This window comes from Homo sapiens, chromosome 12, assembly GCF_000001405.40.
Source record: "Homo sapiens chromosome 12, GRCh38.p14 Primary Assembly".
Classification (NCBI taxonomy): domain Eukaryota; kingdom Metazoa; phylum Chordata; class Mammalia; order Primates; family Hominidae; genus Homo; species Homo sapiens.
Genome location: NC_000012.12, coordinates 19,223,601 through 19,251,590, shown reverse-complemented (window position 1 = coordinate 19,251,590; position 27,990 = coordinate 19,223,601). Strand labels below are relative to the sequence as shown.

At 37.0% G+C, this 27,990-nt stretch overlaps 1 protein-coding gene across 73 annotated transcripts in view; it reads right to left on the bottom strand.

The window, feature by feature from the left end:
• The window catches only part of PLEKHA5 (pleckstrin homology domain containing A5), a 246,668-nt gene that overhangs the window by 124,810 nt on the left and 93,868 nt on the right, over window positions 1-27,990 (bottom strand). For 14 of the 73 annotated variants that reach the window (NM_001385942.1, XM_047429029.1, NM_001385951.1 and 11 more), the window contains exon 1: window positions 14,557-14,699. The exons of 47 other annotated variants lie outside the window; for them this stretch is intronic. The gene's annotated coding sequence lies outside the window, so the exon portion shown is untranslated. Of the gene's footprint in view, window positions 1-8,147; window positions 8,412-10,679; window positions 11,128-11,793; window positions 11,867-12,661; window positions 12,808-14,556; window positions 14,700-27,990 lie in introns of those variants that run through there. 12 more of the 73 variants (NM_001385956.1, NM_001385973.1, NM_001385961.1 and 9 more) reach the window with 8 other exon arrangements.

The window sequence follows — 27,990 nt, the reverse complement described above, 5'->3', positions numbered from 1 at the left end:
TCTAGATGGATGCAAAAAACTGCACCCAACAAAACCCAGCCATGTAGGAATACACAAAATGTATATCTGCACACACCTCAAACATGTACCAGCTACTTCAGTTCACTGCCTGTTTTATGAAACACACCTATCCTCATCTGGTGATACAACTTTTTTTTCTTTTCTTTTCTTTTTTTTTTTTTTTGAGACAGAGTTTTGCTCTGTTGCCCAGGCTGCAGTGAAGTGGCGCAATCTCAGATCACTGCAACCTCTGCCTCCTGGGTTCAAAGGATCCTCCTGCCTCAGCCTCCCAAGTTAGCTGGGATTACGAGCGTGTGTCACCATGCCTGGCTAATTTTTTCCATTTTTAGTAGAGATGGGGTTTTGCCATGTTGGCCAGGCTGGTCTTGAACTCCTGGCCTCAAGTGATCCATCAGCCTTGGCTTCCCAAAGTGCTGGGATTACACTGTGAGCCACCGCACCAGGCCTACAGCTTTCAACTCAATTTCAGATAACCTTCCTCCCAGCACCTCCCAATAATTCACATGCTGAAACCCTTTCAACACTCAGTTACTTTCACAAGCAAAATGCGGGTCTTTTTCAAGGCCAAATGTCATATTTATTATGCTACCATTTTTATTCGGTTCCTATCTTTATTCCCATGTGTCACTAATGAAGTTTTTGTGTAGTGTGCTCCTAGATCCATTTTCCCCCCAAGCCCTGCGTTTTTTGTTTCCAGATTTTGCATGAAGAGGTGATTTTTAGGGACACACATGCTATATTTTTGCAATACGTATTGCACTACTAAATTACAAACTAACATATCACTATCCTATTAAAAATGCATTAGAATTTTAACAGACACTGAAACAAGGTGTCACTTAAAAAATTCTTGCCAGATATTTTATGCTTAATAAAAACCGAGAATAAAAAAAAGTATTTAAAAAATTTGTATTTCTAGAAGAATCCTTATAAAAAGGATAAAATTCAAGTCTTTATTTTTTTTTATTTTATTATCTTTATTTTTGGAGACGGAGTTTCACTCTTGTTGCCCAGGCTGGAGTGCAATGGCACAATCTCAGCTCACTGCAAGTTCCGCCTCCCAGGTTCAAGCGATTCTCCTGCCTCAGCCTCCCAAGTATTTGAGACTACAGGTATGCACCACGACGCCTGGCTAATTTTGTAGTTTTAGTAGAGAGGGGTTTCACCATGTTGGTCAGGCTGGTCTCAAACTCCTGTCCTCACGCGATCCACCCGCCTTGGCCTCCCAAAGTGCCGGGATTACAGGTATGAGCCTCTGCGCCCGGCCAAATTCAGGTCTTGATATAATACATACCTATGGTCACAGAACAAACTAATTCCCACCTTGTCTCTGTAGTCACTGTGGCCTAGTAGGAAGTCCAAACTTTTCTAAATACAATGCCAGTGTTTACCTACTCTTACTTCCAGACTTTTAATATATAGGTCTAGACAAGTGGTTCTCAATTGGGTGATTTCGCCTCCAGGGGAGCATTTGGCAATCCCTGGTAACATTTTGAATGTCATAACTGGGGAAATGTTACTGGTGTCTAGTGGGTAGAGGCCAGGGTGCTGCTAAACAGTTTATAATGCAGAGCAGAGCCCTCCATGTCCAAATAAACCTCCAGAAAGGTCAGCAGTGCTGAGGGTGGGAAGCCCTGCACTAGGCTATCATAACCCTTAAAATAACTGACTCGACTGAATAAGAAAAGCAATATTTACTATTCGTGTTCCTGTATTTCTGTAAACACAACAGAGGTAGCAGAAAACAATGGCAGTTGAGAGCACAGTTTCTGAAATCAGACTACATAGGTTTGAATCCCAGCTCCTCCACTTAATAGCTAGGTGATCTTTGGCAACTTACTTTACCTCTCTGTGTCTCAACTGAATAAAGGCAGCTATGTCACAGGTTATTCCTTCATTTAGTCAGCATATACATGTATATACACACAAATATTTTCAAAAATATAACATCTATATAGACATATATTTATATACAGTAGTCCTCCCTTATCTGTGGTTTTGCTTTCTATGGTTTCAGTTACCCTCAGTCAATTGCCGCCCAAAAATATTAAATAGAAAATCCCAGAAATAAACAATTCTTAAGTTTTAAATTGTGAGCTGTTCTGAGTAGTGTGATGAAATCTCTCTCCATCCTGCTCCATCCCATCTATGATGTGAATCATCCCTTTGTCCAGTGTCTCTAAACTGTCGATGCAACCTGCCCCGTTAGTTACTTAGTAGTTGGCTTGGTTCTCAGATTAACTGTTGAGGTATTGCAGTTTTTGTGTTCAAACAACCTTTACTTTACTTAATAATGACCCCACCCCACCCCCTAAAGTACAAGACTAGTGATGCTGGCATGCTGTTACACTTTTATTAGTTATTGTAGTTAATCTTTTACTGTGCCTAATTTTTTAAAAAACAGAGATGGGGTCTTGCTGGGTTGCCCAGTCTGGCCTCAAACTCCTGGGCTCAAGTGATCTTCCTACTTTGGTTTCCCAAACTGCTGGGATTACAGGCATGAATCAGCATGCCTGTCCCACTGTGCCTAATTTATAAATTAAAATGTATCATAAAGCAGTGAGAAAAACATAAAAAATCCTTGCCCTCATGGAACTTACTTTATAATAGAAGCTGTAGAAAATAATAAGCACTTGATAAATGTTATTTACAATTATTATGAACTGCAGGACATTCAGTATATGTCATCATTATATTAGTATTTGGTCAATTATTTAAATTAAAAGTTTAACTTCGTGCCTACCCATACAGTCATGTGTCACTTAACTATGGTAATACATTTTGTTTGTTTGTTTCATCATACTCAACCCCAACTATGGTGATACATTCTAAAATATATTAGGTGATTTTAGTTGTGTGAACATCATAAAGTGTATATACACAAACCTAGTTGGTACTGCCTACTATAAAAATAGAAAATATATTTATATATAAACCTAGGCTATATAGTATAGCTTATTGCTTCTAGGATAAAAACAGGTAACGCATGTTACTGTATTGAATACTATAGGCCATTGCAGTATAATGTTAATTATTTGTGTATCTAAATATATCTAAACACAGAAAAGGTACATTAAAAAATATGGTATTAAGCCTGTAATCCCAGCACTTTGGGAGGCCAAGGAGGGTGGATCACTTGAGGCCGGGAGTTTGAGACCAGCCTGGACAACATGGCGAAACCCTGTCTCTACTAAAAATACAGAAATTAGCCAGGCATAGTGACACACGCCTGTAATCCCAGCTACTCTGGTGGCTGCGGCATGAGAATCGCTTGACCCCAAGAGGCAGAGGCTGCAGTGAGTTGAGATAGTGCCAATGCACTAAAGTCTGGGCAAAAAACTATGGCATTAAAGATTAAACACTCTATCCCTCAGGCCATAATGCAGTGATGTGAACACAACTCTCTGCAGCCTCAACCTCCCAAGTTCATGCAGTCCTCTTACCTCAGCCTCTCAAGTAGCTGGGACTAAAGGTGCACGCCATCACACCCACCTAATTTTTAAAATAGCTACTTAGGAGGCTGAAGCAGGAGAAATGTTTGAGCCCAGGAGTTTGAGGCTGCAGTGAGCTATGATTACCACTGCACTCCAGCCTGGGCAGCAGAGCAAGACCTTGTCTCTCTCTCTCTCTCTCTTTTTTTTTTAATTAAATTTAAATTAAAAGTTAATTTTTTTTTTAAAAGCACTCTGTTATTCTAGAGCTTCCAGGGCTAAAGAAAACAGGTCATATTTACAAGCTCAACTTGATGATTATGCTCTACTAAAGGTCAGCATAAAATGAACGAATGCCCTCACCCCCTACCTTTTTTTTTTTTAAAAAAAGAAAAGATACCAAGGAATTGATAAATAGCAACACAGATTGCTTGGGCTTGGCATTGTTTTTTTCCTATTTATTACCAGAGTTTTAATCATTTACTACAATCAGAAGAGTAAATGAAAGGCCTGATACTTTAAAGCTTCTATGAAACTATTATTTCATTTAATAATAATTTGGTTGTGAAGGATTTTAAGATGACTAAATCAGTGTGTATATAAAATGGTATATATATTTCCATCAAACTGTATAACACTAAAATGACATGTCTACTGGAGATAAAATAGAAATTCATTAGTCTACCTAATTCCTTTTCCAATCTTATGTATTTTATAAACCAAATAATGAATTACGTAGGTAACTACTGGAACACCTGGGCTATGCTGAACTTTTAAGCAGACATCTTAGTTCTGAGCTTTCTGGAAGCTTAGATAAAAAGAGAAAGCTAAAGCACACAGCTCCTATAAACTACTGATGGAAGGAAGAGCAATTTACCAGGTTTAAATCAACTTTAAGTGACAGGTTTCTTTTATATAAATAACTAAAACTGTATGACAGCACTCTGAAAACGGGGGAAGCTGTTGTTTGCCTCCCTTTCCAGGGTAATTAAAGGAAGATACTTTTCGTAGAGTCGACATTGCTATGGTTTTCCCTCCTCAGGAGACATACAAAGGAGGATGCCAATGGCATTCCTTAAAAAACATCATAACCATGCACACATTCTCTCATGAAAATAAACGCATAAAGTGCACATTTCAATATAAACCCCAATAAAAATAGGCAATTAGAAAAAAAACTTGTTTGTTAATATGGTGTTTCAAATTTCCAGTTAAAATAATAAAAGCCCATAAAAGTGAGGGGCCTATTTCATTCTTAATGGAGAGTTACTTCAAATTATACAAGGAAAGAAACTAAAGTATTCAATGGAATTAAGTACTAACTGACAAAAGAAATTTGGTATTAAGATTCCTGTTATCCAATAAGACCAAAACCATGCGAAACTTCATTGAATGCAAAAATCTTTTTTTATCTGATATCTATAGGTAAAATACCCTTATTAGAAGTTATTTAAAAATCAGAATTTGATTTTTATAGAAATGAATCCAGTACTAAATGTACTAGATTGTTTTTTTTTTTTTTTTGGTCTTGCTCTGTTGCCCAGGCTGGAGTGCAGTGGCGCAATCTCGGCTAAATGCAACATCCGCCTCCTGGGTTCAAGCAGTTCCCTGCCTCAGCCTCCCAAGTAGCTGGGATTACAGGCGCCTGCCACCATGCCTGGCTAATTTTTGTATTTTTAGTAGAGATGCGGTTTCACCATCATAGCCAGGCTGGTCTCAAACTCCTGACCTCATGATCCACCCACCTCAGCATCCCAAAGTGCTGGGATTACAGGCGTGAGCCACCGCACCCAGCCTTAAATGTACTAGATTTAAACATTTAAAAATTCAAGTAATGTTACATATATATAACAAAGCAGCAAGCCAGGCGCAGTGGCTCATGCCTGTAATCCCAGCACTTTGGGAGGCCAAGGCGGGTGGATCACGAGGTCAAGAGTTCGAGACCATCATGGCTAACACGGTGAAACCCCGTCTCTACTAAAAATACAAAAAGTTAACCGGGTGTGGTGGCGGGCGCCTGTAGTCCCAGCTACTCGGGAAGCTGAGGCAGGAGAATGGCATGAACCTGGGAGATGGAGCGTGCAGTGAGCCAAGATCATGCCACTACACTACAGCCTGGGCGACAGAGTGAGACTCTGTCAAAAAAAGGAAAAAAAAAAAAAAGGCAGTAAATGAGATATATTCTTTAAACCACATACGGAAAGAACTATTTTAAAATAATACTTATGATTTCAAAGAGATGATGACTCAGGATTGCTTAATACTGCAGCACTGCCATCTTTATTGGGTTGCCCTGTGCCTTTTAGTTAGGCATCCTCTCAAGCCCAAGGTGGCTGCTGTATCACAAAGCAATACTCTGAACCACGAAGTCTAGAGTTAAAAGGAAGGTTTTTTTTTTTTTTTTTTTTTTTTTTTGACAGTCTCACTCTCGTTCCCCAGGCAGTAGTGCAATGGCGTGATCTCGGCTCACTGCAAGCTCTGTCTCCGGGTTCAAGCTATTCTCCTGCCTCAGCCTCCCGAGTAGCTGGGATTACAGGCGCCTGCCACCACGCCCGGCTAATTTTTGTATTTTTAGTAGAGACGGGGTTTCACCATATTGGCCAGGCTGGTCTCGAACTCCTGACCTCAGGTGATCTGCCCTCTAAGTTTCCCAAAATCTCCCTGGCCATCTTTCTCAAGAATCTCACTAGTCAGAGATATGAGATTCTATGTCCAATTCAACCAACGGCAAAATAAGTGGGACTACTATGGTGAGCGAGCTAACTCCAGTCAAAATTCACAACTTTGTCTGTGGCCGACCTAGAGGAAACTGAATAAAATGCAGTTATATTATAATAGCAAGGAAAAAGGGGAAGGAAGAGGCTATTAGCTAAGAAATATTCTGTTTTCTTAGACAAAGCAACTTACACATGGTCCAAAGAAAATATCTGCGCTAGCATATTCAAAAGTAGATTTCTCTTGTTTTATATGGTAAAAGAGGAAAATGGTTTTACTAGTTTCTTGCTTTGGGAAGGTAAAAGGGTAATTTAACCTGAACTTCAGACCTTTAGAGATTTTGTTTCTACCTTCAGAAAAATGTTTTAATGTTTTGGCTACACACTACCTTTCATAATGCAATTCTTCCTTGTGGGAGCATGTGTTTTTGGTGGGGTTTTTTTTTAAATCTCTATTTCATGGGCAACTTCAGTGACAAAGCAGTTAAAATCCACTCTGCTTTTTAATCCAAAATCCACTCTGCTTTTTTAAAAGAATATTGAAATTGCTATTAACATATTGCCAATAACAGCCAATACTATTCTTCTGAGTGATCCATTACAGTCAGGCAAAGCAACCTTTATTATGCAGTGTTTCATATATGTAACCATGGTAATATCGTTGAAAATGTATCTACTGCGCAAAACGAGTAATATATATTTTAGAATCCCACAGAAGAGATTTCAGTTGTTTCTTACTAAACTCACATGTGTACCCATTTATATGATTTGCTCTGAATCATGTATTTCCCTTAAGGGAAAAAGAAAAAGATTTAATTTAGTTTAAGAAAAATAGAATAGCATAGTGGTTTGGCAGCTGCCATTTGGCAATTCTTCTGCCACTCCTGGCAACAAAGGCCAGTATCATGACTTGGACTTTTGCAAAGGCCCAACCCACAAAAGCTGCCACACATCCACAATAATGTTAGACTGGAGTGGGGCAGAAGAGGTGTGGAAACTATGGAAGCTACTGTATTTCTCTATGAAGAAAACTATGCAGCAAAAAGCTCAGATGTGTGCTTTTAACTTGTGTTTTCAGTATCCTTCTAGTGAAACCAAAAAGAGTACCATAATTTTTAACTATAATTTACTAGCTTCTTAAGTTGGCCTTAGTTTCATTACTCTATTAAAAACAATTATACTCTCTAGCTTGCCTTAAAATTGAAGAGATTTCATCAATAGAAATCACACAGTGTCTTGTAATTTTGCAACTCAAACAATCAAATCTTAATTAGGTTTAAAAAACATGTTTGTAGCAGCCATTTAGTTATTAAATCAACTCAGCCTATGCTAGTCAAGTAATTTAAAAATTATTATTAAATATAAAATTTCTTAATGTTTCACATAGATAACTTTTCATTTACTTTCATTGTAATAAAAAGGAGAAAAATGTCCTGTTGAAATCTGGCTGCCACAAAGACAGTTTCTGCAATTTATTTTTAAACTGAAAATACGCTGGCATAGAAAATTGTGCCTACAATTAAAGGCAATGTTTTAAGAACAAAAGAAAAACATTAAAAGTGCTTTGCCTTTCTTGAAACTGAATTCTTGAGGCTTTTTTATGTGAAGAAATAACCACTGAGTTAGCAATCTCAAAGACTGTAATTTTTTTTGAGGGGTAAAACATGAAAAGTATATATTTCCTTTCCCCACATTTAGTTCTAAATGTCATTTGCCTTTAACTTAGAACTAACTGCTTCCAGACATCCTGCTCAAACCTCAATGTTTCATTTACCCACCATCTACAAATTCTCCTTAAGGTCTTAACCCTTTAATTTCTATTCTTTCTCCTCTCATCATTTAGAAAACGGATAATTTCCAATTTCTTGGGAGAAAGGAAGGGATTAATCAGGTGTGAAAACCTCACTCAACCTCACCTCCAGCAATAAATATTATGATCACCACCATAACAGCTACCCTTAAGCATTTCAGTGCTACTCACATATTCAGCTGTCACGTAATGGCCTTGACAATCCTCACAGAGCCCATTTGAGGTAGGTGTTATTATTTGCAGTTTATGAATACATAAACCGAGGCTCATAGCATTTAGAAAGTTGCCAGAAGTCATACTCCAAGTAGGAGTGCCTCCAAGGCTTGAGCTGCTTTCCTTTTCAGATCCCAACCTTTCAACAGCTGCCCCTTTCTCCAACTCTTCCACAGCCAATGAGACTTCTCAGTTCTGCCTTTCATCTTCTGTTCAATGACACTAGAACAGAATAAAGCCATACTTTCCTTAGAGGCCCTTTCCTTCTTCCACTGACAGCAGATGTGCCATGCACATGCTGCCTCTCTCACTGCTCCTCTTCCCTCCTCCTCTCATCTCACTGCCTACCATCACCCCAGGATCATTTCTATCTGAAGCACAGTAATGAAAGCTTTCCCAATTCCAGTTTAATTTTAAACCCAATGCCTCTCATCCTTGGAAGCTTCATAATCATTTCCTACTCTTAGCTGTTCAGACAAAATTACCTCCAAAACAGATTTAGAAATGTTACCTCACATTTCTACCATTACAGGTATCAAAGAATTTAAATACAAATAATAACAATTATAAAGCATGTGTTGCACCCAACAGGAACTGAAAATCTTGCTTGACTCAGAAGAGATGACTTAAACCCCAGTGAGAAAATATGAGTATGATGTAACACTGTAAGTACAAAGCTAAAACCATTATTATAGACATTAAGAACATTAAGGGGAAAAAAATTAAATGTTCAAAACATAAAAAGCTCACATGCCAACTCACCTGTTTTAGGATTTGGTTTTTCACTGATAATTTCTAAGTTATCTTTCTTAAAAGCTCTCTTAAATAAAACCAGCATACACACTGAGAATCTACAAAATGGGCTGGGTGTGGTGGCTCACGCCTGTAATTCTAGCACTTTGGGAGGCAGAGGCAGGTGGATCACCTGAGGTCAGGAGTTTGAGACCACTCTGGCCAAAATGGTGAAACCGTGTCTCTACTAAAAATACAAAAATTAGCCAGGTGTGCAGTGGCGCCCATCTGTAGTCCCAGCTACTAGGGAGGATGAGGCATGAGTATTGCTTGAACCCAGGACGCGGAGGCTGCAGTGAGCCAAGATCGTGCCACTGCACTCCAGCCTGGATGACAGAGTGAGACTCTGTCTCAAAACAAAAAAAACAAAAAAAAACAAAAAAAGGAATTTACAAAATGAACACCTTTTAATGAATTTAAAGCAATTTTGAAAGTAATGTAAGAATGATTCAATTAACACCATGCTAGTTAAAATGTACCTATCACATCCATCCCGAGTATTACAGCAGAGTTACATTTTAGATCACTTGATAAATTAAAAGCAAAAGTGCTTAACATAATTTAGATAATTCTTTCACCTGTAAGTAATTTGAGTGAATCTGAACTTAACCATTTAAGAGAATGGGAAGGTTAACTGGTACTATATGGTTAAAACAGAAATATGATTCTTAAAATGTACACACTAATTTGCCAAAGTAATTTTCTGCCAAGTATTCAAGAATTAAGTGATATTGACTGCTAATAACATCTCAGCCACTGTGCAGGCGCATATGGTTCTAAGACTCTTTTTAAAAAAAAAATTGTATGTATTTATCTTTACAATTTATTTTTCTTTTCTTTTTTTTTTTTTAGATGGAATCTCACTCTATTACCCAGGCAGGCTGGAGTACAGTGGTGTGATTTTGGGCTCACTGCAACCTCTAACTCCTGGGTTCAAGTGATTCTCCTGCCTCAACCTCCCAAGTAGATGGGATTACAGGCACCACAACCATGCCCAGCTAATCTGTGTATTTTTAGTAGAGACGGGGTTTTACCATGTTGGCCAGGCTGGTCTTGAACTCCTAGCCTCAAGTGATCCGCCCGCCTCGGCTTCCCATAGTGCTGGGATTACAGGCATGAGCCTATCACACCCAGCTATTTTTACAATTTATTTTTCAACTGAAAAATTAAGACAGTATGTATTTATCGTGTACAACATAAGACTCTCTTAACAGCATCTGAATCCACCTCATTGTAACAAGACTCTTCACTATTGAGTCTATCCTCCAAGCTGAGCTTCAGCTTCTTTCTGTAGAATAGGAATTAAAACCAAAAAACCAAACCAGCAGCACAACAAAACCCCTACCCCTTTAAAAGGATAAATTATCTGGTTACACATCAAGGCATATTAGCTGGATCTAATAGAGTCCTCACCATATAACAGCTGAACTTGAATGTGTTAGTAGAATCAGATTTCTTAAAAACAAGTAAATTATGTCACTTCCTTGCTTTAAATAATTGTTGGTTCTCTGCATCATCTTTAATGTGAAGTATAATGGCTTGCATACAACTGTAATTTAATGAATAAGGAACACTGATAATGTGATCCAAGGTTAAAGTTTACTGTTGAATGATATATGGAAAAAGCACTTATAAAGCCACATAACAGAATAAAAATGCTCACAGGGTATATTTTAGCGGGTTAAAAAGAATACTTACTCGAAAAGTTGCAGAGTCACTTGTATAAAAATATTGTGTCACAAGAGTCTTACTGACTTTCAAAATAAAACTGGGCAGAACCCTAACTCAGAAACATTTCAATAATCAGAAATATTCTCGTCATTTAAAAGCAATAACATGGCATTCAAAAATATACACAGCCTGTAATCCCAGCACTTTGGGAAGCTGAAGTGAGAGGACTGCTTTAGGCCAGGAGTTTGAGGCTAGCCTGGGCAATAAAGAAAGGCCCTGTCTCTTAAAAAAAAATAATAATAATAATAATTAATAATAATAATATTAAAACTTAGCCAGGTGAGGTGGTGCATCCCTGTAGTCCCAGTTACTCAGGAAGCTGAGGTGGGAGGATCCCTTAAGCTTAGGCGTTCAAGGCTGCAGTGAGCTATGATGGTGCCATTATGCTCCAGCCTGGGCAACAGCAAGACCCTGTCTTTAAAAAAAAAAAAAAAAAAACTCCCTAATGAATGCTAATTTGTAATATTTTATTGTAACATGCATTATATAGAAGTTTATTATACCTTTGGGAAGGAAGCAAAAGGCAAATTAGAAAAAGTTTAAGTATCCACTCTTTTGCGTGTGGTCACACTCCACTTTAGAAAGTTAACCAAATTATAACCTATACATAAATTGCCACACAATTTAAAGAGATCCAATTATTTTATTGTAGATAAAACACATTCTTTCCAGTAGAGTCAAACTGACAGAGTAACAGTTCAATTCAAAAGGGGAAAAACTGCTAATCACTTATTCCGTATCGTGCAGTATTCATTTTCATATACTGCATGAGCTTTAAACAATTTCTTCAAGAATAAAAAAGGAGCTGACTCATAAGTCAAATGATATTCCTATGATACAAAAAGATTTTGTAAAAAACGTTTGGCTTTCTTTCAAAATAGCTATCTTGTAGCATAACAAACACTTTTATTCATTCTATATGTGCTAGGCACTGGTGACACAGCCTTAATAATATCACAAATACAAATAAATAAACATGAAGAGTCTCATAACCATAAACAAAATACAAAGGGGAAACCGATTAGGGATTGATCTTGCTTAGAAAGGAAAAGAGCAGAGAAGGCATCACGGAAGTGGCTACCATTTGAATTGAGCCTGGTGGAATCAGCGGGATTAGTCAGATGTGGCTGGAGTTCAGCACAGATTGAAGCTGGCTAGGGCACAAAGAAATGTGGTTGAAAATCTAGGCTTTGACTAACAATATGTTTATGTATATAAAATGTGTTATATAAGTTTTGAAACAATGTATTTGCTCCCCTCCTAGGTTTTCTTTTACTTCAATTCCAAAATAATATATTTGTTAAAACTCTGAAAAGGCCCAGATAGTAATGCACTTTATGTGATGCACATAACACCTAATTTAGGTTCAGTTTAGTCAACAAATCATTATCCTCAAGCACTGAGAAATTTCTCACTTGCAGATGAGGCACGAGGGGGACAGAAATTCAATCCAGAATAGCAGGGTAAGTAACCCAGTTTCCAATAGCAGTGACATTGTGAGCAGAGTGGGCAATAACTGGAGACATGGGGGGAAATCCAATGGCCACTACAGGACACTGTGATGGCAATATTTCACTCTGGAGACACATTTCCTTCCAGCAGAGTACAACGCAGGGCATGCTATCAACAGGCTAGTTAACTAGCAGGTTTTGATCATCAGAGTGAAGATGGAATCTCTACAATGCAAAGATCAAGATATCCTCCTCGTATTTAACTTGCTTTGCCAATTCATTTCTTCGTGTTGAAATTATTTATTAAGCATCCTATATATACAACGTTTTGTACTGTCTACCACAAGGGAACAAAAATATAGTTTAAGACTATAAGGGCCTTAAGAAATACTATTCCATCTGAGTTTACTAGGCTAAACTTCAAACAAAGAAGAGTAGCACAATTACACTTTTTCAAGCAGTCTATAGTATTGGTGGAAAGCGTTCCTCAAAGCATACCTTATTCACTGGAAAACAGACAAGTGCTCTGTTTTACTGCTTTATTCTTGAGTAAAACTTTTATGTTAATTTCAAGTTATCCCCACAGCTCTGCTCATTGCCCTCTTCCTTTTTTTTTTTTTTTTTTTTTGGCCAGATTTAATTTCCTGTTCATACAAAAAAAAGTTGAAATAGTTTCTCTTCACTTGAACTTTAGTAGCAACCCATGACCTATGATGTCATAATGTCTCAAAAACATCTTTGTTTAAAATGTATACTGAATATTCCAATTCATCATCACCACAGTAACTTACCGATTAAGTTTAAAATACAGACTTAAAGCCACGTTAAAACATTTTCAGCGGATTCAAGATAAATTTTAAAAGGGAATAGAAATATTCCTCTGTATAGTTAAATTGGGTAGAATCTTAGTTGGAATCTGAAAATTCTGCAACTTAAGGAAAAAATTGTGGCTCTTAAATTAGGACTGTCAAGTCAAATAGAGCAAACTTGAAACCCTACTTCTATATTTCAATGCTTCTAAGTATAGATGTATAATATACTGGGAGTCATAATATGAAGCAGTTAGTGTTAATTCCTAAAACTTGTTATTCTTTTTACATTCACATATAAAAAGCTGATTTAGATCACTTCAATACCTAACTATATTATTCACAAAAAATATGTACAGCAAGTCATTCTTCAACTGCTTCAGAAAACTGAAGTGAAAATATTTAACATATTTAGTAAGAATTTCCATATCATGTTTTCCTCATCTAGACTTGAAAACTAGAGTAGCAAACAAACAAAAAACTAGAGTAGCACAATTATAAGAAAAAAACTAATCTTTTTTTATTCTTTAAGAAAAAACTTTGGAAATTCTTCTAAAAGACCTTGAAATCACAATGCTGCTGCTGAAAATGCAAGAAAACAATTATGCGAGAAATAGCAAAATGTAAGACTTTGTAGGCTTTTGTTTGTACAATATAAATAGAATGAAATTACAATAATATCATTCATCCCTATGAAATAGGGAAAAAGAATTTATAAGCAAAATAGCTATGTCTAAAAACAAAAGAAAAAGCTTACCCAACATAACCTACTTTTTAAACTAATGCTTTTAAAACAACAAAATCAATTTACATAGTACAATTCAAAGAAACATGAATTGATATTATTAATAATAAATCTTGCCTGGCCTCTACAATTAATAGCAGAACTCTTAATTTCTTTAAAAAATTAAGAAACTTCTTAATTTCTTTAAATGCTAAATAAAATACGATCTGTAATATATAATCTCCTGCCATTATATTGCTCTTAAATTTTAAGTCAATAAACATTCCTACTTTGAATCATATCACTGATATGGCCCAAATAATTGAAGAATTAAAGACATAGCAGCTTCTATTAATAAGTTTAGACTAGTATCGATATACCTTAAAAAAAATTACATAATGCATACTGTTAGTACCTCCACAGGAACATCTGAGGAATTATTCATCTAATTATCTTTGGAGGTCTAGGGGCAAATCAAGCATCTTCTGTGAGTAAGTTAAAAATAAGGAACAATAAGATTTTAAATAAAAATCTTTAGGTTTTAAAGCAATTTGTGACTACTATGTATTCATGTAGCCTAAAGTTAAGGAGAGACTAAGAGGAAGACATTCCCAATGCTCAAATCTTAAAATGTTCAAGCATTTGCAAACCTAATGAATATACTTATATTTCTACAACAAAACAATACTTTGTTTATAAAAATATTTATAGTATGTAAATCCTTTGCACTAGATATTATGCCTGGCACCAGAGCTACCAAGATTATTTGCCATAGGATCATTAACTGAGGAAAAGGACTACTGTTCACTTAGCTATTAGCTATTTATTATTAATACATTAAAGTAACAAGAATTACTCACCAGCCTTCATCAAAATCAATTCTTAAAAGGATATTCAATTACAGGCAAAAAGAACACTGGAGTAAAAATAAGACTCAACTGCTTTGTCTTTGAGCTGTTCTCAGTGAGCACTGTGGGGATGAAGCACTGAGGAAATACACTGTGGTTGTGAGGCTGGCCTGCCACTCTGGAAGTCTGACACCAGACTGACGTCACATCAGAACATGTCATTGCAGCCGCAAATTAAGGCAGCTCCTCCAGGAAGAATCTGTTGTGATTATGCATGCCTTCCAGCCATAAGAGTAAAATATGATTTCAATTCCCTTAAAATTGGCATATAGCATAGGATAAAACACTAAGATATATGGATGCAAATAGTTACTGAAGAAAACGTTTACTGAGTATTAAAATAAACTTAGCTCTAAATAAATGCATATTTCTTGTTTAAACTGTAAGCACCCCAACTAAAATGACTCTAAAAACAGTTTTTCCTGTTTTTTCCAAGATGATATATATTTGTTTCAAAAATTCAAGCAATAAAAGGTATACAAAAGGCTAAAATTGCCTGGAATTCCACCACCCAGAAACGATGATGATGGTTGCTCAGTTTTATTGATCACTTACTATGTTAAGCACTTTACAAATTCATGTGAGCCTCATAACCCAACAAGATAGATTCTATAGTAGTGATCTCCATTTTACTGAAGTAACTAAGGCACAAAGTAGTTAAGTAATTTGCCCACAGTCACAATGCTAATAAGTGATTAAATAGGATTCAAACCCAGGTAGAGTGCCTGCGCTGCCCAGACATTTGATTACCAACGTATACTAACTAGCAGAAAAGGTAAGAGTTGTTAACATCGTGGTGAACATCATTTCAAACCAGAGTTTGTTGGTATTTATTCAACAGAAGGAAATAAAACTATATATGTTTTGCAACATGCTTTCTTTTGCTCAATAATATGCTGTGGACAGGTTTCCATGTCAGCAATTACATTCCTAACTTTCCTTTTGTGATGACTGCTCAGATATCTTTGTGCTTTTCTGTGTTTAGCTATGTAGGATAATTCTCAGAAGTGGAATGGATAGGTCAAAACACGTGCATGTTTTCAACATTTACACACACTATCCTCCAAAAAGAGGTAACAATGTATATTTGTACCTCAGTGCATTAAATTTCTCCTTTCCCCACATTTCAGCTCATATTGAATACTGACAATTATTTTTCTTCTTTGCAAGAAAGCCATTGCACTGTTTTAATTGTGTGTGTGTATGTTTTAATTTAAAGTGAGGTTAAACCTTTCTTCATATGCCTATTCACACAGAAAGCAGTACAGCTTAAAGGTCAAAAGCACATCAGCTATGAAGTCAGATGACCCCAGTTCAAGCCCAGCTCCTTTTCTCAACAGTTTTCTGACCACAGGCAGGTTACTTAGCCTCCCCGTGACTCCATTTCCTTACTCAGAAAATAAACATAATAATGTAATACTCATGAGATTTTTCTGATTATTGTATGAGAAAAACCATGTCAAGCAATTAGAACAGTGCTTACCACATTGTAAGTGTTTAATTAAATGCTGACTGACATTTAGTGGCTGACTGTATTTCTTCTACAGTTCATGCCCTTTACCCAAAATGGGGATTTTTAACAGTGTATGGGCAAACCATTTTACAAAACATATTGTACATACCTTGTTAGAATGCTACTGATATAAAAATTTTTAGATACCTCAATCTGAGTTGTCTTACAACTAAATCTAGCACGCAACATAACTGGTGCTAAAACAAATTCCTTTCATATGAAACTGCTGTAACAAAAATTAAAAATAGCATCTCAAGTTGAGAAAACAAAATTATTTCATCATGTAATTTGAAATATAGATAAGCAAGCCAACACAGTTTGCTATAACCAGAAGGGTTTGCATATGTTTTAGAGAAGTAGTGATTCATGATCCTTCTCATTTTTTTCAGTGAAGGCTTTGTTAGTTTCAAATATGTTCAAGTTTAAACTCCTCATACAATAAAAGAAAACAAATCCATTCTCAGAAACATGAAAAAGAAGTCAATGAAACAACTTTTCCACAGTTCTAAAAGCCAACGACAGCCCCCTTTAAAAAACATAAATCAGAGAAACTAAAAGATAATAAAAAACATAAACCATAACCTATAAATACTGTATGAAGATTAAAATATAGTAAGCTTACTATCCTTACCCCCAAATCAATTTGATCTTCTATTATATAATAAAGCCTTCACTGTTCTCATCAGACAGCTGTAACAAAACACCTCTAAAACTTACTGAGAAGGAATTTTGTATTATCCTGGCAGAGTTGGTTTAGGTGTATTCACTGTTGCATATGCTATAAGATCACCCCATTTGAAGGCAGACATTTTTGTAATAAAATTGCAGCACAATGTTTGCATAATCACACAGTGGTATGGTGGTTCTGCATATGGCTGCCAGGAGAAAAACAATACATCGAATCAGCAGGGATGTGTCAAGAGACTCTGGAAGCTTATGAGGGATACTAAGAGGCATCAAGTCAACCAAGTGTTTGGCTTATGAAGTTACCAGCACCCTGCACAGCTTCTGTAGAACCTGTGAAGGTCAGGCCCTTTAATACAGCCACCGTTTACAGAAGGACTGCCACAGGGAAAACACAGTTGTGAAGGGGGCCATAAGATAAGGTCCCTGCTCTCAAGGCCCTAACAGCCTGAAGTGACAGTTTAATAAGAAGGAGAAAGAGCTGTAAACAGATCATTATAACACAACCTCATTTGTAGAGCACAGAAGAGGAAATGGCTAAATGCCTGGGGGAATCTGGAAAAGGCTTAACAAACTGACAGCTGACCTGACTGTTTCAAGAGGCGATTTCAGTTAGAGGTAGCAGTAGTTATAAAAGCGCAAATCTAAGATGTAATCTAAATTTTACATTTAAAAAGGATGCCCTGTTAAAGAGAAACTATTCATTTAAGGAAAAGAATAGGTTACAAATAGGGCAATTCTCACAAGTTCCTTGTAAAATTCTGCCCAGTTTTCCCCAAATGTCACTGATGACAAGTTTAACTTTCTCAATTCTGCCCAAACCACGTTTTAGGAAAAGAAGCTGAGGTAGACTGCGGATCAATGCTCCACTACTTCGTGAGAGCTAATAAACGTCTTTAAATCAAGGGGAATCCTAAATCTCAATTAATCCTGATTCTCTTTTCACGTTATCTCTATACTATAGGTGAAGAACAATGCTTCATTAAAAAGCCACAGAAAAAATCCAGTGAGGGCCTCCAAAGTACTCTCCACCAAATAACGTTTCAGCACATTCCTCAGCAATATTTGTGATAATGACTAAAGATCTAATTGTGATATTTGTAATTTTTCAGCCCTTATGTTACTTTACTTCTCAGTGCCATTTAAAACTTTGACCACTCTCTTCTTCAAAGTGCCAGCCTTGACCTTGACTTAACCTAGTTTCCCAGCATTCACTCTAGTAAACAGGCTTATGTTCAAACAACTAAATCCAGCATTGAGGTGTTCTGAATACCGTAAATTGGTACCAATTTACTCATCACACATATTTAAAGTAGTTCTTTTAACGGTTAAGAAACAGATCTCCTACCAATCTCTTTTCCATACAGTACCTAACAGTGCTGTACGACATGATGCATGCAAATGTTTCATCAGTTGACTACTGATTTTTATTGCCTAGGTCATTTAATACAAATTGTTCAGATCAGAAAAATACTAGTACGAGAAAAGCACAACTGCACATTAAATCCCAAGTTTAAACAGAGGCAAAAATTAAGGATAATGAAAACCTCCTTTCTCACTTTTTCCCAAATTTCCAAATTCATTTATTTTGGTATAGCACATACCATTTGTTCATGACTTAAAAAAAGAAAAACCAAAGTAACACTAATTACAAAAGTAAATTTTAAAATAATTTGAAAATATAGTGTCTTTCTCTCTCTCATATCCTCATTATCTTCTGCTAAAAGTTGGTAATCAGGTAAGGGGTAAATCAGCTTACAGAAATTAAACTCTCACACCTAATGATTACCTGAGGTAGGTTTCAAATATCCCATGAACTTATGGCACAGGTAACAACTATATAAACTGAAGTAGAGTATAAGAATAAACTCTATGCCACCAAGGAAGACAATCGACATGGGTATGGGGCCAACAACTTCTAAACACAATGTCAGTCTAGTCATCCTCATTTGATACTGACATAATAGTTCAGATATTTTTCATCCACTACCCAAGAAATGTTCAAGGGTTGCTCCATGCTATCATCTTGGTTTTCTTTTAGAGGTGAAATTTCACTACACAGCAACTCTTAGAAACAGTAACTGGAAGAGTTGAATGATTTAAGAATCAAATGAATCCATAAACACCTGCTTAGGAAGAGACCATTTATAATGAGAAAGCCCTTCATACACTAGAATCTTCCTCCTCAGAGAGTGACAACTTCTAAAATACATTTGCTTACTAATGGGATTCAGAACTGTTTAATTTGAAAATATCAAGTTTTCAAGTTATCAATGACGAGTTACCCCTCTAAGGCCAGTTTAATAAGAGACTTAGACATTTTTTATTCTCCTTATTTCTTCCAAATCCTTTCTAAATTCTTTCCACTTCTTGTACGAGATTAGTAGCCACAAGTTCCTCCTTCTGAACTCTGTCATAACTTGCATATCTCACTAATTTACATTATTCAGGTCCAGCTCAAATGTTACCTTCTCAGAGAGATCTACCCCAATCTCCCTCACTCAGGTAGTTCCAGTACTACATATTAGGAACAATCAGCATAACCAACAAAATTTAGAGACATGGGTACTTCCATCTCAAATAATCTGTTAATATAAACTATCTTGCACAACAGATGGAAAGTATGTACTCATGGAGACTGGACTAACATCTAATAAGTTCATTCATACAGCCAAATACAAACCAAAATGAGAAATACAATCTAAAAAGCAGCAATTATTTGAGCAATAAAACTAATCCTATTTCTTCCCCGTGTCCTTGTTTTCATAGGGCATCTCAGCTTCTGAGCTATAGGAGAAATGTGTGGTTATATTTATATCCCCTTTGGCATATTTAAACTCTATCTTTGGGTGCTTGAAGACAATTTTTCTCGATGGAAAAAAACAGATTGAGTGGTGATTCTTTTAATGGAATCTTTACATTTTCATCTTAATCACTACAGTTCTAGAAAAATTTCCAGTCAGAGTATATATGCAACAAATGTAGTATAAAAACTTAAATTTACTGATTTTATAATTAAATATATAGTAGTAATAAAAAATTAGGTTTGTAAAAATTTGTGCCTTATGAAAGATAATCTTCAAATTCTAGCATGATAAATTCTGATTCAAGAACACGTTGATGAATATGAAATCATAAATATGATGAATATAAAATAACTCAAGCTTTATGAGTATTTATATATATATATGTGTACATATATAAATATATATACATATATATGTGTACATATATAAATATATATACATATATATGTGTACATATATACAAATTTAGTTGTAGTTTCCTTACCTAGGTCCTAAGTATAACCTTTTGGATGAATATACATTTCTTAAAATGGACAAAAATTGCACATATTTATGTGAATGTACACTTGTGAATGGTAGTTTGTGACTTACACTCTAACTGTATATAAAATGATTTTCATTCTAAAGGAAATAAAATCTAACTCGTTTTCTACAGAGTCTGATTTACTAACAATATCTATTATTCAAGTACTAACAGTCAATTCTACACTTGTACCATCTGCTTGGAAGATACATGGTATGTTTTTGATGTAGGAATAGAATTAAACATATGATAGTGTTACCAGTTTCATTATCATCAAAAAAACAGGCCTCAAAGAAACTCTTACAATGGTTGCTTTGTGTGTTAGCTTGATTTACTTATTAAGAAACTCCTGTTTACCCTTTTGTAGGGAAGGAAGAAAATACCCATGTTTTAAAAAAAACCACAGTACAGGACAGACTGTGTTATGGAGACTCATGATTAAGACACAGCCTTAGGACCTAAAAGACAATTCTATCTCTGCAACAAACTCAATGAAAGGTCCTGAAAAAGTAACTGACTTCATAAGTTGTCCTTTACTCACCATGATATTGAGAGGTGACAGTGTGGTGGCAGCCCTCGCGTGCTCTCAGCGCCTCCTTGGCCTCGGCGCCCACTCTGGCCGTGCCTGAGGAGCCCATCAGCTTGCCACTGCACTGTGGGAGCCCCTCTCTGGGCTGGCCAAGGCTGGAGCCGGCTCCCTCTGCTTGCAGGGAGGGGTGGAGGGAGAGGTGCCGGTGGGAACCGGGGTGCACGTAGCGCTTGTGGGCCAGCGCAAGTTTCAGGTGGGCACAGGCTCCGCGGGCCGCACTCAGAGTGGCCGGCCGGCATTGCTGGCCCCAGGCAGTGAGGGGCTTAGCACCCAGGCCAGCAGCTGTGGAGGGGGCGCCGGGTGCCCCAGCACTGCCAGCCTACCCGCACCGTGCTCAAATTCTCGCCGGGCCTCAGCTGCTTCCCCACAGGGCAGGGCTCTGGACCTGCAGCCCGCCATGCCCGAGCCTCCCCTCCGCCATGGGTTCCTGCACGGCCCAAGCCTCCCCGACGAGCACCGCCCCCGCTCTGCGACGCCCGGTCCCATCAACCACCCAAGGGCTGAGGAGTGCGGGCGCACGGCATGGGACTGGTGGGCAGGTCCGCCTGCGGCCCAGTGCGGGATCCACTAGGTGAAGCCAGCTGGGCTCCTGAGTCTAGTGGGGACTTGGAGAACCTCTATGTCTACCTAAGGGATTGTAAATACACCAATCAGCACTGTGTCTAGCTTAAGGTTTGTAAATGTACCAATCAGCACTCTGTATCTTAGCTAATCTGGTGGGGACCTGGAGAACCCTTATGTCTACCTAAAGGATTATAAATACACCAATCAGCACTCTGTGTCTAGCTAAGGGATTGTAAATACACCAACCAGCACTCTGTATCTAGCTAATCTGGTGCGGACTTGGAGAACCTTTATGTCTACCTAAGGGATTGTAAATACACCAATCAGCACTCTGTATCTAGCTCAAGGTTTGTAAACACACCAATCAGCACCCTGTATCTAGCTCAAGGTTTGTAAATGCACCAATCAGTGCCCTGTGGGGACTTAGAGAACTTTTGTGTCTAGCTCAGGGATTGTAAATGCACCAATCAGCACCCTGTCAAAACGGACCAATCAGCTCTCTGTAAAACAGATCAATCAGCTCTCTGTAAAATGGATCAATCAGCAGGATGTGGGTGGGGCCAGATAAGGGAATAAAAGCTGGCTGCCCAAGCCAGCAGTGGCAACCTGCTTGGGTCTTCTTCCACACTGTGGAAGCTTTGTTCTTTCGCTCTTTGCGATATATCTTGCTGCTGCTTACTCTTTGGGTCCGCACTGCCTCTATGAGCTGTAACACTCACTGCGAAGGTCTGTAGCTTCACTCCTGAGGCCAGCGAGACCACAAACCCACCGGGAGGAATGAACAACTCTAGACAGGAGGAACAAACAACTCCAGACATGCCACCTTAAGAGCTGTAACACTCACCGCGAAGGTCTGCAGCTTCACTCCTGAAGCCAGTGAGACCAGGAGCCCACCAGAAGGAAGAAACTCCGAACACATCTGAACATCAGAAGGAACAAACTCTGGACACGCCACCTTTAAGAACTGTAACACTCACCGCAAGGGTCCGCGGCTTCATTCTTGAAGTCAGTGACACCAAGAACCCACCAATTCCGGACACAATATTGCATAACAGACACAGTCATGTGGTCTCATGTCAACAACTCTAACCAAGACCATCTGCCTGCCAACATCAAGTTTTACTGGGGTATGGCTATTTTCCCTTAAAACCAAACAAAAAACAAACTAAACATTTCTCTGCTATGAGTGACTTAAAAAACAAAAACAAGTTTTAACTTGCCACACTTCTACATTCATATTTCTGATACTGGAGGGCAGATTTCTTTGTCTGTTTTTACACTTCATTTGTATAAATTCCTTTGTCAACAAGTTTTTTCTTCCCTTTTAAATGAAACCACTTATCCTTATTTTGGAAATCTATTGAAAATGTTACACATACTGCTGTCTAGTGTTAAAAAAATCACATAAATGGTTTGAGATTTGATTACTTGGCTAATAGATTTTTCATTTGTTTAGCAAATATTTAGAGTGTAATGCTTTTTCCATAAAATAAGCATTTTTTCTAGATCCTGTAGGAGAATTAAAAAATTAAAAAGAAAAAAAGAGAATGTCTAGGTGTGGGTGGGTAAGTGGAATAGATAAGTACAGAAGTAAAATACAAGTGAGAATATTAGATATGCTACTGCACAAATGGACTTTGGCTGCCTAGATCAGAATTCTGGATCAGGTCTGAGGAAAACTATTGTACGTCTCTGTGCCTCAGTTCTTCCTTCATCTCTAGAATGGGTCTAATAACATCTTCCTCATATAATTGTTACGATGAAACAAATGAAAACATTACAAGACTTACAACAATAGTGTCTGACATATAATTAGAGCTCATTTTGCAATAGCTATTGTTCTAAAAGACATGTAGATCAGAAAAAAACAGAGAAAAATATAAATAGGCTTTGAGTTTGAATCCTATAAAGGATAGGTAGGATCTGGAGAGTAGAAAACAGGAAGTCATGATGCAAATATATTGGGGTAAAAATGAAATGGTTAGTTTGGCTTAGTTGTATAATGCAATGGCTTAGTAAGGTATATGAAGAGCAGGACTGAAAGGTTGTGAGTATTAGACAAAGGGACCTGGTGTAACATAGTAGGCCACAAACAGCTACTAAAGAGACAAGGGTTATAATCAAAGGAGATTTATCAGCAGAGGACCATAAGTCACATGGAGGATTGGCAAGGATTTGGATTTATCACAAATGCCCTTGAGAAAGCTGATTTTCCCATGAAGTAGTTTCACTTACTGTGATGCAGGGCTTATACTAAGGACCCACCACAACAATTAAAAGCACTAAGCTGGGATCTTAGCGGGCTCCCATTGTCCAGAGGTGATGCAGTGAATGACTACAGAAATGAATATGAAAGAAAATGAGATGTGATATGAACTTAAGTTCACATCACAAAACAAGTTTGACTTAGCTTATATTACTGTTTAGATTTTGAATGAAACGTTCTCTTATAAAGGTTTTTGCAAAACAGCTGCTACTGAACTCTAAACCTGGTTAACCTTCAACAACTGCTGCTGTGGCAGAGATCGGTCATTGCTATCCACTGCCCATTCTTTTTTTCTTGCTCAACTTTATTCAGGGAAGGAATGCACCCTGCAAAAGTACTACATTTCCTGGCTTCCCTTGCAACTAGGTACAGGCATGTTAATTAGGCACAGCCAATGAGGTGGGGGACCTTAGGAAATTAATTCATTTGCCCTTCTGATTTTTATACCTTCTGGACATAATGAGAGCCATTTCAGAGCATGAATTAATCTTGAGAAAATCACTCACATTCTAGGACAGTAAAGCAGGAAAATGGAAGGAACTCTGATTCCAACCCTGGAATACTTATCTCTGGGACTGCTTTACTTGAAAGAATAAACTACTCTGTGTTTAAACTACTCACAGAAGCTCTTCAGCTTAAACCAATTACTGGCATGGGGAACAGGATTAACTCTACAAGAATAACTATTATTTAGCCCCTGGGGCTGAGGAAGCTTACCTTCCCAGAGGACATGAGGGAAAAAAAAAAAAAAAAAGAAATCACTAGAACAAAATTGGGATTCTTTCCAATAGGAAGAAAGTTGGAAGGAAGAGTGGATAGCAATTTGGTAGGCACCAAGAATGGTCTATCACATTCTGTGACCCCCAAAAAAGTACATTTAATCAATGGAAATGTAATTTAAAATGAAAAAGCCAGTTCTGTGTATTAAGAAACTGAAAACATTAACAATGAGCAACAAAAGATTAAGCTGCCAAAACTTTAAGTTCTGCATAATAGAAAACATCACAAAAGAGGTATGGAACTGGGAACTGGAAGGATATAACCGACTTCCTTATACAGTAAAATTACTGTCAATCAAGTAAAAAAAAACTTAAAAATTGCTATCCAGAAAGATTCTCCAATTCTAAATAATCTGTATAACTCTTTGATTCCTAAATTGGCTAAATATTTCAAAAATGTTACCTACATATTAGATATAAAAGACAAAACAAGAAAGGAATAAGGCATAATAATTTAAATAACAGAGCACATTCAGTTCTTAAACACTGTTCTTAAAAAGTATGTTCAGATGACTGAAGATCAGACATAAAAAATTACGACTATCCAAACACAAACTTTAAAAATGGACCAGTTTCACAGCTTTTCTTTGAAAAATTTCATAACAATATATGCTAGTGTTACCTAACTATAACAAAAAATTCCAGATTGTTCACAATTTAATTTGGAAGTCCAAGAGTCAGTTCAGGATCTCAGCATAAATATTTAGTGTTGACAGGAATGTAAATGGTGCAGGTGCTATGGAAAACAGTTTAGCTCAAAAAGTTGGACACAAAATTGCCATATGACCTAGCAATTCAACTCCCAGGTATATATACCCAAATAATTAAAAACAGGTATTCAAACAAATACTTGTACATACATGTTCACAGCAATACTATTCATAATAGCCAAAAGGTGGAAAGAACCCACATGTCCAATCAACAAATGAATGGAAAAACAAAACGTAGCATTTACAAATGATGGAATATTATTCAGCCATAAAAAGGAATGATGTACTGATACATGCTACAACATGAATCACAAAACCATTATGCTAAGTGAAAAAAGCTAGACACAAAAGATCACATATTGTAGAATTTCATTTATAAGAAATGCCCCAAATAGTAAATCCATAGAGACAGAAAGCAGATTAATCTTTGGAACTGGATAGAGGTGATGGTTGCATTCCATTGTGAATGAATGTATTAAATACCAATGTACTGTACATTTTAAAACGGTTACTTTTACACGATATGAATTTTACCACAATTGAAAAATAACTAACGTAGCATTAATATGAAATATGTAAAGATCTGAAGGAAGATGTGCATTGGAATTTAATCAGTTCTAGTTAGTAGGATTTTGACTTGCTTTAATCGCACAATTTTCTACAATTTTTTCCCAACTGAATATATCCTGGGATGATCTTCATTACTTCCAGCCCTCTAAGAAGACTTAAAATGTGAGTCTACATTCAGATTAATCCCCACACTGCAAATGGAATTGCCAAACTGCACATCCAACTTGTTCAGAAGACAAACAGGTTAAAAAGCATTCTGATCTAAACCACAAATGAAGGAGATCCTAATAATTTACAGTTATGAAGATCCTTGAGGAAACTTTTTGGTAGTTTGGGACCCTCTAACATCACCTTATAATGCTTTTGTTGCTTCTCATGAGAAAAATGGGTTTAACAGATTGTTTCCTACTGTCTTGTTCTTCTACAAGGATCAGAGTGGTCCTCTCTAGAAGGCAGACCATACAGCATAATGTAACGAGGGAAAATAATAAGCAAGAACTGCAAATTCTGTACTAAAACTCCACAAATGCTAAAACTAAAACCCCATATTTTCTAGAATTTTACTTGTTTGCAAATTTTCAATTAAAAAAGAGACAGAAAATTAAAATCCTACCCTCAGATGTTTTAGATGTAGTAAGCAAATTCTGCACTGGTCCACAATTTCTGCTCTGAGGAACGTTATGAAAAGGACTACATGCTCTGACACACGCAGTAGGCAATGGTTTATCATCTCTCCCCAAAGATGGAGTAAAAAGGAGCAGTTTTGTGGCCGTGAAATATTGAGACTCTCACCTTTGGGAAAGCGGACTGAAAGTAGCTGTAAAAGGACAAGTACTGATGGGCACTTCCTACTGTATGGAATCAAGGGATTGCAAAAACCCTTTCCACTGGTATCTGTCCTTCATTGTCTTAAAACTGCCATCCCGTTGTGGCTAACAGAAGAGATAACCCCAATTTTAACAGATTCTTTTCTCCCCTTTTTATGGCGATGAGGTCTTGCTATGTTGCCCAGGCTGGATTCACAGTCACAATAGCACACTATAGCCTTGACCTCCTGGCCTCAAGTAATCCTCCCACTCCAGCCTCCTGTCAGCTGAGACTAAAGGTGCACACCATCATGCCTGGCTAAAACACTAATTTTTTCCAAGTAAATGTCAAAAACATTGCTTTTAGAACGTGTATACTGTATCTATATATTTAAAGCCATATACTTTTGAAATATCACTATCATTATGTAATGAAATGTAATTTTTATTTCATTAGAACACTGAATGATGGTCATTGAAAATGCTTTAAGCAGAGATAGTCACTGAAGCAAATTGTCTAAAATTCTGTAACTTAGTCATATTTATTTAGAAATATTTCATTAAACTCTCCAAAACTGAAGGCCATTTAAACTTATTTTATGCAACAATTTTTAAAAAAATTTTTCATATGGCCCTATTTGGTTGTAAAGAAGGTAGGTGTTCCTTGGGATAATGTTTTACTATGAAATGCAGAAAACTGGTTTATACCATGTAAGAGCAAAACCCACTGATAATGGGCAAGTGAGTGGGAAAAGAAGTTAATGGTAGAATTCTGCCCAGGAAAAAAACAAAAACAAAAACAAAAGTCATTCAATTAAACCAGACTTCCAAACTTCATCATTCCTGGATCTCATTGAACTTGAGTGCCACATGTACTATTAACCATACTTGAGAGTTACTTTATTAAAAAAGCAACCTAGTCTCATCCTAAGCAGTATCCGCAAAATTGCAGATTTTTATTCAAAAAATAGCTATAGTTTTCTAACACACAATATTAAAATGAGAAAATTTCATCCACATACTACCTTGTTACACTGTAATTAACTTTAAAACACTTTAGTATAAACAGTGGAGGAAGACAGTTAATCTATTAAATATCCTATTAATGATTCACATTCAAGGAAACCTAGACAACAATCACACAGGCACTACAAGTATCACTAACTAATTCTGTATCAGAAGGTTCATTAATTAGCATAAGGGATGTTGGAAATATTTTTTCACAGTGAGATGAGTGATATTCAAAGTATGTGGCTGGTTCTCTAGTCTTTACATAAATAAGAAACAAGATCCCTGGCTATCCTGGAAGCCAAACAACTTTGGAGTAGCGGTCCAGCAAAGAATTTTACTTGGCTCTTCCTCCCTCACAGTGAAGGATTCTGCTGCTTGACCCCATTAACTGAGCTGATCCCTCTGCCAGAATATTATGTTTTGAGTTAATCTCTGATGTAAGATACTTGCTGGAATGCCTAAAAAGAACAGAGAGGGACTCTATTCTTATAGGAACAGTTTAAATGACCATTTTTATACCTATTACAAATGCCCAAATTTGTTTATCTCAGCTCACAACATACC